Genomic DNA, 13,077 nt, shown 5'->3' on the forward strand with positions numbered 1-13,077 from the left:
CCCAGCTAATTTTTGTATTTTTAGTAGAGATGGGATTTCACTATGTTGGCCAGGCTGGTCTTGAACTCTTGACCTTGTGATCCACCTGCCTCGGCCTCCCAAAGTGCTGGGATTACAGGCATAAGCCACTGCGCCTGGCTGCCTCTTCCTCTTTCTTAGGTCTTAAACGTGGAAAGGAATCAACTGATGCAGCTCCCACGTTCCATTGGGAACCTGACCCAGCTCCAGACTCTCAATGTTAAAGGTAGGGACCAAGAAGCCGTGTCCGTGTGACCCTCCATCAGCTCTGGGCCATCCTGGCCGGGATCCACAGGCTGCCCCGCCCGGGAGCCATTGAGCAGGAGGGCAGCCAGTCTCCGGGGGTCGCTGTAAATGGACTGACCCCTGCTGGGTCAGCTGTCTTCATGGTAACCAGAGACAGGCTGTCTGGAGGGTTCCTGTGGCTCCTGAGAGCCAGGGCCGTATGGCCGTATGGGGAGGAGGGCAGCTGGGCCCCGAGCCTCAGTCACTCATATTTATAATGGTGAGTGTAGAGGACTGATGGGGCGAGAGCTCCTAAGGAGCCGCAGTAAGGTTCTGAGCAGTGCTTCCACCTCCAGCGACGCACCAAGCCTCCTGAGGAGTCCACTGGGCAGGCTGAGGGCAGTGGTGCCATCCCCAGTTTACACACGAGGAAAACAAGGCCCGGGAAATCAAGTGTGACTTGCTCAAGACCACCCCGTGGGATGGTGACAGAGCCAAGACCACTGCACAGGCGCCTTACCCGCAGGAGCGCTCTGCTCGCCACACCCAGCTCTCTCCCTTCTCCTGGCTGTCCTTAAGCACTTCCTGCAGAGTGCCTCTGTTTATCAACTGTAACATATGAGTAATGAGAACAACAGTGGCGCCCCATTGCTCAGCCATTACAGCATGAGGGGCCCTGTGCGGAGGACCTCACACATCATCTACCTGAACCTCCAATCTCCCCGTGTTCTTATAAGGCTGGGTGGCAGTGTCATCCCCATTTTCCAGGTGAGAAAACTGGCACAAGGAGGCAAAGCCAGTTGTCTAAAGTCTCTTGGCTAGTAATTGGTGGAGTGGGGACTTGAACTGGAACTCCACCTTCTTGAGCCTAGGAAACCTCAGAGCCCAGGATCTGTTGTGTGCCCTAGAGGTCAGAGTGGCTCCCAGCGGGCATCAGGCAGGAAGCTGGTGATGGGGATTTGGGGTGTTGAGCTGTGCTATTGGGGTCTCTGCAGACAACAAGCTGAAGGAGCTTCCAGACACCGTGGGGGAGCTTCGAAGCCTGCGTACCCTCAACATCAGTGGAAACGAGATCCAGAGATTGCCGCAGATGCTGGCTCACGTTCGAACCCTGGAGGTAAATGGGAAGCTGTTCTTGCCTGGGGTGCTCTCTGGCCTGCCCACCTCCCCTCTCTCCCACATTACTGAGTGCTTGCTCTGATCTCACGGTACCAGGGCCACACAGAGATCCCAAGGCATGGTCCTTGGAGGCTTGTAGAGAGGCCAATGTGTGAACATTCGTAATTATATGACTTTTGCTGCCATAATAGAGGCAGAAAAACATACATTAAGAATGAAGAAGAAAGAATGCTGAATCCAGAAGAGGCTGACACTTTAAGAAAGTTGTCGGTAGGGGAACAACACAGTGAGGCCTGTCGGAGGAGGGTGGTGGGGAGGGAGAGCATCAGGAAGAAAAGCTAATGGATGCTGGGCTTCAAACCTGGGTGATGGGACGATCTGTGCAGCAAACCACCGTGGCACATGTTTACCTTTGTAACAAACCTGCACGTGCTGCACATGTACTCCTGAGCTTAAAAGTTGCAGAAGAAAAAAAAAGTTAAAAAAAAAAAAAGTTGTGATATTCAAGCCAGACCTTAAAGGAGGAATAAGATTTCTGGGCTGGGCACCGTGGCTCACTCCTGTAATCCCAGCACTTTGGGAGGCCAAAGCAGGTGGATCACTTGAGGTTAGGAGTTCGAGACCAGCCTGGCCAACATGGTGAAACCCTGTCTCTACTAAAAATACAAGAAATTATCCAGGCGTGGTGGTGCGCACCTGTAATCCCAGCTACTCGGGGGAGGCTGAGACAGGAGAATTGCTTGAACCCGGGAGGCGGAGATTGCAGTGAGCCGAGATTGCGCCATTGCATTCCAGCCTGGACAACAAAGCAAGACTTTGTCTCAAAAAAAAAAAAAAAAAAAAAAATTCTGAGCAGACCTGGATAACAGGGGCAGCCCAGGTGCAGGAGGCAGGTGGTGGGAAGCACAGATTGTCTCAGGGAGGGTCGAGGAAGTGATGTGGTTGGAAGCTGCTGAGCTTGTGTGATATGGGGCCCAGAAAGCTGGGAGGGAGAGAAGGAGGTAGGGAGCCGTTGGGATGGGGGTTCAGAATTATCCAGGCCAGGGGAGTTCTATAGGCTAGAAGTCCAAGATCAAGGTGTTGGCAGGGTTGGTGACTTCTGAGGCCTCCCTCCTTGGCTTGTAGGTGCTGTCTTCCCTCCCTGTGTCTTCACCTCATCTTCCCTGTGTACATGTCCGGGTCCAAATTCCCTCCTCTTAGAAGCACACCAGTCACATTGGATTAGGGCCCAGCCTAATGACCCCTTTTTAACTTAATTACCTCCTTAAAGATGCTATCTCCACATACAGCCACATTCTGAGGGATGGGGGGATTAGGATTTCCACATAGGAACTTGGGAGGGGGACATAGTTCAGCCCATGACAGACACTGACAGAGGCAGCTGCTCACGGAAAGCAGCTCTCACAGTCATGCTAATGAGGTAGCTCACCTTTATCTGGGGCTTTCTAAGACTGGGCATAACCTGGAATCGCTCCGTGTATCGTCACAGAACTCTTGTGAGGCAGATACTATTGTGCTACTTTGTAGATGAAGAAACTGAGGCACAGGCAGTTTAAGAAACTTGCCCAAGGGCCACACAGTCACTGACAGCAGAGATCGTTGTAAACCAGGCCGTCTGAAGCTGACGCCTGTGCTCCCCACCTCTGTATGACTCGGCTTCTGGAACAGGGACTTCTCCATTCATGGTGGCACGCAGTCTGGCCAGCATTCCGGAGTGGCCTGGAGTTGACCCCACTCTCAGCCAGCCCAGCCTGCTGAGCAGAGGTGTCTGTGTCAGAGTGGGTGGGTGATCACAGAGACAGCAGAGGAAGGACTGACCTCAGCAGCTGGGGCCCTCCTGCCTGAGAAAGGGCCGGCTGGGGAGATGGGCCAACATGGCTTGTCCTCTCTGCTGCCTACTGGAACTTTCTGCAATGATGGAAATGTTCAGTGACCGTGCTGTCCAGAGCGGCAGCCACTGGCCATGTGTATCTAATGAGCACCTGGTGACCGTGCTGTCCAGAGCGGCGGCCACTGGCCACGTGTATCTATTGAGCACCTGGAGACCGTGCTGTCCAGAGCGGCAGCCGCTGGCCATATGTATCTATGGAGCACCTGGAATGTGGCTTGTGTGTACAGCCAGGAACTAAAAGTTTGATTTCATTGAATTTTAATTAATTTATATTTAAATAGCCGTGGGTCCTTAGTGGCTACCATTTTAGACAATACAGCTCAGAGCACGTTCCCAATCCTGAAGCCATCTCGACATCTAGTATGAGTTCTGGACACTTCAATTTTTTTTTCTTTGAGACAGGCTCTCATGCTGTCACCCAGGCTGGAGTGCAGTGGCTCAATCATAGCTCACTGCAGCCTCAAACTCCTGGGCTCAAGAGATCCTCCTCCTCAGCCTCCCAAGAGACTGGGACCACAGGTGTACCCCATCACTCTTGGCTAATTTTTTTATTTTTTGTAGAGATGAGGTCCCACTATGTTGCCCAGCCTGGTCTCAAAGTCTTGGGCTCAAGCAATCCTCCCGCCTTGACTCCCAAGTAGGTGGGATTACAGGTGTGAGCCACCACACCCAACCTGGACACTTCATTTTATTTTGATTCCTTTAAAAAAAATCTTTTGGGTTTCTTGGTGGCACCTCGGACAAACCTTCTTTTAGGATGAGATAACCGTTCTGAGTTCAGGCCGTACTGTGGGCAAGATCTTCAGGTGTCACGCACGCCACCCACCAAACAGCCCACCAGGTCGGTAACACTGCCTGTTTGGCTATGAGGAGACCACAGCCCCAGGACACTAAGGGGCCTGATTAAGCAAACACATGGCCAGCATGCAATGAGCCGGGATCTGAAGCCATGGCGGTGTCTTTGGCACAGCAATGTCCAGTCACTGCTCCTGCTGCCCACGATGAGAATGCTCTATGATCTGTGCAGCCAACATGGCCACCCCAGCCACTTGTAGCTGCTGGGCCCTTGAAATGTGGTGACTGCAACCAACCATGGACTCAAACTTTAAATCAGATTTATTTTCAGTTACTTAAAATGTAACCATAAATGGCCACACATGGCTTGTAGCCAGCATCCTGGTATAGCCCACAGTCCGTGCCCTTAAGCCACCACGCTTTACTGATGGTGACTAAGAGCACCCATGTGGGGTTCATTTGCTTCCAGGTATGGGGTTTTCTGCTGTTGGGCCCTCAGCATCTGGGCGGTCAGTTCCTCTTCCCTGGGGCAGTCTCCCACTCCCTGTGCAAAGCACGTTCACTCAACACCCACCGTGTGAGGGCTGGGCTGGCCAGGGCTGGGGGACCTGAGCTACCCTTCCCACCCAGCCACTTGTGTTACAGCAAAATCAGAGCTTCCCAGGCCTTCTCCTTTTCCAGGACTCCCCTGATACCCAGGCATAGAGGATATCAGTGCCTGCCAGCACTCTGGGATGAGAGGGCCTGTGGGAAGTCAGAGGTTGGCAGCGGGAGGGCAGGGTCCAACACAACTCACACCGTGGATGGGGCAGTTCTGTGGCTGTGAGCTGAGGCCCCTGCTTCCTGGGCTTCATAAACACGGAGGCATCTGCATGTGTGCGCTGATAAACATTTGTCATTACATAATTTAAAAGTCATACTGTATATTGTAAAACAAAAAAAATGCAAATATTAAGAAACATTTCTGCCAGGCACAGTGGCTCAAGCTTGTAATCCTAGCACTTTGGGAAGACGAGGTGGGTGGATCACTTGAGGTCAGGAGTTCAAGACCAGCCTGGCCAACATGGTGAAACCCCATCTCTACTAAAAATACAAAAATTAGCCGGGTGTGGTGGCGCATGCCTATAGTTCCAGCTACTCGGGAGGCTGAGGCAAGAGAATTGCTTGAACTGGGGAGGCAAAGGTTGCAATGAGCTGAGATCACACCACTGCACTCCAGCCTGCCACACAGCAAGACTCTGTCTCAAAAAATAGTAATAATAATAGCATTTCATGTAGATAGTAACCCAAAATCTCCTTTTAGAGGAAACCACTTTTAGTTTGATAGATATCCCTCCAATTTTTTTCTATAAAATATGAATGTGAAAGTGTATGAATATATTATATGAATATATTATCTAACAAAGGAAGAATCATATATATATATATATATATATATATATATTTTTTTTTTTTTTTTTTTTTTTTTTCCACTAGAGATGGGGTCTCGCTATGTTGCCCAGGCTGGTCTCGAACTCCTGGGCTGAAGTGATCCTCCCACCTTGGCCTCCCAAAGTGCTGGGATTACACGCATGAGCCACCACACCCAGCCAGTGGAATCATATTCTATATGCTGTCCTATAACTTCCTTTTTTTCACTCACTTATGTATTTATCCAAAGTGAACTGAGAGGCTGGGTGTATGACTCACACCTGTAATTCCAGCACTTTGGGAGGCGGGCGAATTGCTTGGGCCCAAGACTTTGAGACTAGCCTGGGTAACATAGTAGGACTTTATCTCTACAAAAAATACAAAAATTAGGCATGGTGGCATGTGCTTATAGTCCCAGCTACTCAGGAGGCTGAAGTGGGAGGATTGCTTAAACCTGGGGAGGTCGAGACTGCAGTGTTCGTGCCACTGCACTCCAGTCTGGGCAATGGGAATGAGACCCTGTCTCAGAAAAATGTAAAAAAGTGCTTGCTGCTGTTGTAACCAAGCGAGTTATAGAGAAACACCACACTTTGAGACAAATTGAGGAGTCCTTTATTAGCTGGCAACCGAGAGGCAGCTAATGCTCAAAATTCTCTTGGCCCTGAGGAAGGGGCTAGTTTTGTTTTTATACTGTGGTCTAAATAGGGGAGGGGGGAGTTTAGCTGAAGCAATTTTTACAGAAGCAGAACTGGCAAAAAGTTAAAAAATTAATTGGTTACAAAAGCAGTTACAAAAAATAAACAGTTCCAGGTGCAGGGGCTTAAACTATCACAAAGGGATAAATGCAGGGGCTTTATGTGCCATCCACTGCGCGTGTCCCCAGGAGCTGCTGGTGCAGCTCACCTCAATATCTTATCAGTAAGTGCATTCCTGGATGTGCTTTGAGTCAGTTTACACTAGTTATGCCCTTAAGGGAGGGAGGGAAGGGGGCTGCAGGTGAAGAAACTAAAATGGAGTCTGTCCGGCTCTCTCTCTGCTAGGAGAGAGTCACTCAGGTTAAAACAAGGTAGGGCATCACACTGCCTGCCTACAGTCATCCCAGGCACTGGGAACGCAGCTGTAAGTAACAAGACAGTTCAGCCACCTCTGCTGTCAGGCCATTCCTGCTGGGTAGAGGTGACAGAGAACACACAAATTGATAAGGAAATCGTGTGGTCTCCGGTTGCGTTGGTAGCGAACAGTAAAGCGGGTTACCCTTGTGTCTGCAGATGCTGAGCCTTGACGCCTCGGCCATGGTCTACCCGCCGCGGGAGGTGTGTGGTGCCGGCACTGCGGCCATCTTGCAGTTCCTCTGCAAAGGTAAAGCCAGGCCGCTGCCTCCTCCCCTCATTGAGGAACTATGACCCCCATGGCCACCCTGTGCCAGCCCAGGCTGGGGAACAGCAGAGACAGAAATGGCCACAGTGCCTACCTGCTTGGAGTTCGAGGTCTGGCAAGGGAAACAGGCAAAACAAATGTTTACACAGGGAAATAGATACAGACTGTGGTTATGGGAGTGCAGTGGTGCAGCTGATTTAGGTTGGGGCCACAGGGAAGGCCTGTCTTTGAGAGTGTGGCTCCACTGACACGGAGTCATGGTTAAGATCTAGAAAAAGCAGAAAGCTGTTCCGCCAGTAGGTGCATATGGAAGGGCCTTGATGGGAAGTTTGACAGAGAGAGGGCCAGTGTAGCTGGAGGGAGGAAGCAGAGAGAAGAGAGATGGGAGAAGCCAAAGACAGTGCCCGGGCCCAGTGTCCAGTGGGAGAGCATGTGATCAGTCATTAGGCTGCAGGGAGGAGAAGGGATTGGAGGAGGAAAGAAAGAGTGCAGGACAGGGGACCAGTTAGGAGGCTGTCGGGGTCATCCAGGAGAGATGCACAGCAGAAGGAGCTAAAACCCGGAGCCAGCACTGGCTGGAGGCGGGAGGAGAGCAGGATGCCCTGTCAGGCTGGAAGTTCTTAGCTAGTGGTTCTGGTCACCTGTGGGACTTTCAGAATGCAACCAAGACACACATGCCTATGACTTATCATGGCCATTGCAAAACAGTGGGGAAGGATGGTCTTTTCAATAGCTGATTCTGGATCAACTGGTTGTCCCTGTGGAAAAAATGAACTTTAACCTCTTCCTTAAACAGGAAGCAGGCAGTACTCATGATAAAAGATTGGTACCTTAGATTTAATTAAGGCCAGACATGGTGGCTTGCGCCTGTAATCCCAGCACTATGGGAGGCTGAGGCAGGAGGATCTCGAGCCCAGGAGTTTGAGACCAGCCTAGGCAACATGGTGAAACCCTGTCTCTACAAAAAAAAAAAAAAAAAAAAAAAAAAAAATCAGCCAGGCGTGGTGGCACGTGCCTGTGTTCCCAGCTACTTGGGAGGCTGAGGTGGAAGGATCATTTGAGCCTGAGCTGTGGTCATGCCACTGCACTCCAGCCTGGAGCAAGACTCCAACAAAGCAATACCCTATCTCAAAAAAAAGGTTTAATTAAAATCAAAATGTCTCTTCCTCAAAAGATACCATTTAGGGAAAGAAAAGGAAAGCCATAAAGTTAGAGATGATATTTGCAATACATATATATCCAACAAAGGACTGGGATCTGGACTATAAACAGAAATCCTACAGATCCACAAGGAAAAGACATTAGCAAAAGACTTGACTAAGAATTTTTACACAAGAGAATATCCACACGGTGGCTCACACCTGTAATCCCAGCACTTTGGGAGGCTGAGGTGGGCAGATAACCTGAGGTCAGGAGTTTGAGACCAGCCTGGTCAACATGGTAAAACTCCATCTCTACTAAAAATACAAAAACTAACTGGGCATGGTGGCAGGCACCTGTAATCCCAGCTACTCAGGAGGCTGAGGCAGGAGAATCACTTGAACCCGGGAGGCAGAGGTTGCAGTGAGCTGAGATTGTGCCACTGCACTCCAGTCTGGATGACAGAGCAAAACTCCATCTCAAAAAGAAAAAAAAAAAAGAGATGATATACAGATAGCAAACAGTATCTGAAAAAATTGCACAACATCATCTTAGTCAATGGGAAAATGCAAATTAAAACTGCAAAGAGATACTTTGACAAACCCACTAAAATGGCCAGAACTTTTCAATGGAAAAAAAAAAACAAAAAACTTCCTGCTGACAAGTCAACCAGAAATAAAAAAACAAAAAATAGGCCGGGCGCGGTGGCTCGCGCCTGTAATCCCAGCACTTTGGGAGGCCGAGGTGGGCGGATCATGACGTCAGAAGATTGAGACCATCCTGACTAACACAGTGAAACCCTGTCTCTACTAAAAATACAAAAAAAATTAGCAAGGCGTGGTGGCGGGCGCCTGTAGTCCCAGCTACTAGGGAGGCTGAAGCAGGAGAATGGCGTGAACCCGGGAGGAGGAGCTTGCAGTGAGCCGAGATTGCGCCACTGCACTCCAGCCTGGGATACAGAGCAAGACTCCATCTCAAAAAAATAAAATAAAATGGCCAAAATTGAACTGGTGATACCAAGAATTAGCAAAGATGTGGAGCAACAGGAACTTCCATATACTGCAGGTGGGAATGTAAAGTGAAAATTACCTTAAAAATTATTCTCAATATCTACTCAAGCTGAACATTCAAATATCCTATGGCCCATGAGTTCCATTCCTAGGTACATGCCTGTATTAGTCTGTTCTCACACCGCTATGAAGAAATTCCCAATTTCTATGAAGAAATTCTTTATAAAGAAAAGAAGTTTAATTGACTCACAGTTTCACATGGCCGGGAGGCCTCAGGAAACTTACAGTCATGGTGGAAGGCACCTCTTCACAGGGCAGCAGGAGAGAGAATTAGTGCCAAGTGAAGAGGGAAGCCCCTTATAAAACCATCAGATCTTGTGAGAACTCACCCACCACCATAAGAATAGCATGGGGGAACTGCTCCCATGATCTAATCACCTCCCACGAGTTCCCGCCCCCAACACGTGGGGATTACAATTCAGAGATTGAGGTGGGGACACAGAGCCAGACCATATCAATGCCCAATGGAAATGCATATGAATAAATGCCAAAAGCCATGTGCAAAAATGTTCATAGCAGCACTATTTATGCCAGTCCAACCTGGAAACAGCTTTAATGTCCATTAGGAGTAGAATGGATAACTAAACTGTTTTATACTCAATGTGTGGATACCACACGGCAAGTGGAAAGAATGAGCCACTGCTCCTTTCAACAACCTGGATGAGTCTCACAAACAATGTGGAGTGTGAGGAGCCAGACACAAAGGAATATGTGCTCTTATCAGTCACCACAGAGCTTTGAACCAGCACTGGTTCCTGGTCATGAGAGTGTGTTCACCTTTAAACATTCATCAAGCTCTGCATGAAGATTCTGTGCTCTCGGCCCAAAGGCAGTGAGTTATCTCAATTGATTGCTCACAGTCAGTTACAGATTTAAGGCCTTGTTCCACTCTTTCTCCTCTTCTCACCGCTGCACTTGACTAATCTTAAAAAAAGAGAGAGAAAGATTTTGTGCTCTTTTCTGTATGTATGTTATATTTTACTTTAAAAGAAAGTGGAGGGGGGTGGCTGCGATCATAGCCACCAGGCCACACATATGCAAATTAGAGTCTTCGAGCAACAGGTGATTCCAATATACACCCTGGCCAATGGCTGAGCTAGCTAGACAAAAGCCTTTATTTTCTTTAAAAAGATTTTGGGGCCGAACAAGGTGGCTCACGCCTGTAATCCCAACATTTTGGGAGGCCAAGGCGGGTGGATCGCTTGAGCCCAGGAGTTCAACATGGGCAACATGGCAAAACTTCATCTCTACAAAAAATGCAAAAATTAGCCCAGCTTGGTGGCACACCTGTAGTGCCAGCTGCTCGGGAGTCTTAGGTGGGAGGATTGCTTGAGCCTAAGAAGTGGAGGTTGCAGTGAGCCAAGATTGTGCCACTGCACTGCAGCCTGGGTGACAGAGAGAGACCTTATGTTATAAAAAAAAAAAAAAAAAAAAAAAAAGATTTTGGGCTGGGCGCGGTGGCTCACGCCTGTAATCCCAGCACTTTAGGAGGTCGAGGTGGGTGGATCACCTGAGGTCGGGAGTTCGAGACCAGCCTGACCAACATGGAGAAACGCCATCTTTACTAAAAATACAAAGACTAGCCAGGCGTGGTGATGCATGCCTGTAATCCCAGCTACTCAGGAGGCTGAGGCAGGAGAATCGCTTGAACCCATGAGGCAGAGGCTGCAGTGAGCTGAGATCTCGCCACTGCACTCCAGCCTGGGCGACAGAGCAAGACTCCATCTCAAAAAAAAAGAAAAAAGAACAATTAGCCACCACGCCTGGCTAATTTTTGTATTTTTAGTAAAGACAGGGTTTCGCCATGTTGACCAGGGTGGTCTCATACTCTTGACCTAAGGTGATCCACCCACCTCGGCCTCCCGAAGCGCTGGCATTACAAGTGTGAGCCACCACGCCCTGCAAGAAATAATTTTTTTTTTTGAGACAGAGTCTCACTGTCGCCCAGGCTGGAGTGCGGTGGCGCAATCTTGGCTCACTACAACCTCTGCCTCCTGGGTTCAAGCGATTCTCCTGCCTCAGCCTCCTGAGTAGCTGGGATTACAGGCGCCCACCACCACGCCTGGCTAATTTTTGTATTTTTAGTAGAGACGGGGTTTCACCATGTTGGTCAGGCTGGTCTCGAACTCCTGACCTCGTGATCCACCCGCCTCAGCCTCCCAAAATGCTGGGATTACAGGCGTGAGACACCACGCCTGGCCAAGAAATAATTTTTCAATTTACCTAAACTATGTAGAAGTATATATATATATATATGTGTGTGTAAAATTTGTTTTTTGACCTTTTAAAAAACATTAAAGAGGCTGGGCATGGTGACTCACACCTATAATCCCATAACTTTGGGAGACCAAGGCTGGCAGATCCCCTGAGGTCAGGAGTTCGAGACCACCTTTACCAACATGCGGAAACCCTGTCTCTACTAAAAATACAAAATTAGCTGGGTGTAGTGGCGCATGCCTATAATCCCAGCTACTCAGGAGGCTGAGGCAGGAGAATGGCTTGAACCCAGGAGGAGGAGGTTGCAGTGAGCAGAGATCATGCCACTGCACTCCAGCCTGGGTGACAGAGCAAGACTCCATCTCAAAAAATAAATAAATAAATAAAAATAAAAATAAACATTAAAGAAACCATAAAAGGTATCATATGATGTGATTCTATGCCTTGCTTTTTTTGTCTCTCAAGAAAAGTCTTGGGTATTTTCCTGTCTCATAGTACGGTTTGAATGTCCCCTTAAACTGGTCACAGGATTTCATGTGGTGGCACCTGTAGCTTCGTAGCCATCCCTGTTGGAAGGCATTTCCAGTTTCCTGCTGTTCTGAACATTTGAACTGACACCTCTCTGTCACCGTGTGCACTTTCCCCTAGGGTGTGTGAGAGGGCACGAGCGCCCTAGGGTGCCTGGGAAGAGGTCCCATCAGTCTCCATCCCATGAGGAGTGGCTGGGAGGACCTCTCTCCCCCTTCACAACCTGCGTAACATGAAGTATTTTATTAAAGAGTCTGCTAATCGGATGGATAACAAGAGAGCCCATTATTATTCTAATGTCACTTCCTTGATTCTGTGAATATTTTTCATACGTCTCCTGCCCATTTTTAGTATTTCTTGTGACGTGACTGTATCCTTCCCATGAGGGGAAAGAAGATAACTTTGAGTACATCAAAACTTACAACTTGTTTACCCCGGAAGGACACCATCATCAAAGTTAAAAGACCAGTTACCACCTGGAAGAAGATAGTTACAACATATTATAGACCTAAGGTTATTAACTACAATATATAAAGAGCACCTACAAATCAACAGGAAAAAGACAAACAGCCAAATAGGAAGTGAGTCTAAGGTATGAACCCTTTGAAATTTTACAGGCAAAACCACACATGGCCAGAGAAGGAAAGCATCTTGCCCAAGGTCTCACATTCAGGGAATTATTGGTAGAGCTGGATCTAGGACGCAGGTTTCACTGCTTATCTCAGGCTTTTTCATCACTTCATTCTCACTTGGATGGTAAAGAGGTGTAAGGGGTAGCCAGTACCCATTGACTCACTCCACTGACATTTACTGAGCACCTGCCACATTCCAGGCCCAGGGCTAGGACCGGTGAAAAACACGAAGCGCCCAGGCTAGGGAAGAGGAGAGCAGTGGCTGAGTCAGGGTGGGGCCGGCTGCCCTGGCAGTGGGAGCGGGTGTCTCTGGGTACCTCAGCTGTCTCCTCCCTCCTGGTCAGCTTGTGTCCCGTCTCTTACAGAGTCAGGGCTGGAATACTACCCCCCTTCTCAGTACTTGCTGCCAATTCTGGAGCAAGATGGAATCGAGAACTCTCGGGACAGCCCTGATGGGCCCACGGACAGATTCTCAAGGGAGGAGTTAGAGTGGCAGGTAAGACAAGGCAGCCTGCTGCACGCATACATGTGTGTGTGTGCGTGTGCATGTATGTGTGTTGAGGGAGCTGGGAATGGAAGGGGGCGGTGGTTCAGAGCTGCAGCTCCCAGATTCCTCCATAGAACTAGAACTGGCCTCCTGACGAGTTGAACTGCT

General features: G+C 48.9%; 1 protein-coding gene across 11 annotated transcripts in view, besides 2 other annotated features; it reads left to right on the top strand.

Moving 5' to 3' along the window:
* The window catches only part of LRSAM1 (leucine rich repeat and sterile alpha motif containing 1), a 52,016-nt gene that overhangs the window by 9,528 nt on the left and 29,411 nt on the right, over positions 1-13,077 (top strand). For 10 of the 11 annotated variants that reach the window (NR_168892.1, NR_168891.1, NM_138361.5 and 7 more), the window contains 4 exons: positions 160-244; positions 1,239-1,360; positions 6,727-6,817; positions 12,788-12,918. Coding sequence is in view for 7 of the 11 variants with exons in the window: in NM_138361.5 (NP_612370.3) it covers positions 160-244; positions 1,239-1,360; positions 6,727-6,817; positions 12,788-12,918 (429 nt within the window). In the remaining 4 variants the exon portion in view is untranslated. Of the gene's footprint in view, positions 1-159; positions 245-1,238; positions 1,361-6,726; positions 6,818-12,787; positions 12,919-13,077 lie in introns of those variants that run through there. The other variant, XM_047424059.1, reaches the window with a different exon arrangement.
* Positions 2,740-3,240: an enhancer, noted in NCBI's record as "H3K4me1 hESC enhancer chr9:130226032-130226532 (GRCh37/hg19 assembly coordinates)". NCBI's record gives its function as "activates a minimal SCP1, AML or CMV promoter by ChIP-STARR-seq in primed H9 embryonic stem cells {active_cell/tissue: H9 hESC(primed)}" and the evidence as "EXISTENCE:reporter gene assay evidence [ECO:0000049][PMID:30033119]".
* Positions 3,241-3,741: an enhancer, noted in NCBI's record as "H3K4me1 hESC enhancer chr9:130226533-130227033 (GRCh37/hg19 assembly coordinates)". NCBI's record gives its function as "activates a minimal SCP1, AML or CMV promoter by ChIP-STARR-seq in primed H9 embryonic stem cells {active_cell/tissue: H9 hESC(primed)}" and the evidence as "EXISTENCE:reporter gene assay evidence [ECO:0000049][PMID:30033119]".

Source organism: Homo sapiens, chromosome 9 (assembly GCF_000001405.40).
Source record: "Homo sapiens chromosome 9, GRCh38.p14 Primary Assembly".
NCBI lineage: Eukaryota > Metazoa > Chordata > Mammalia > Primates > Hominidae > Homo > Homo sapiens.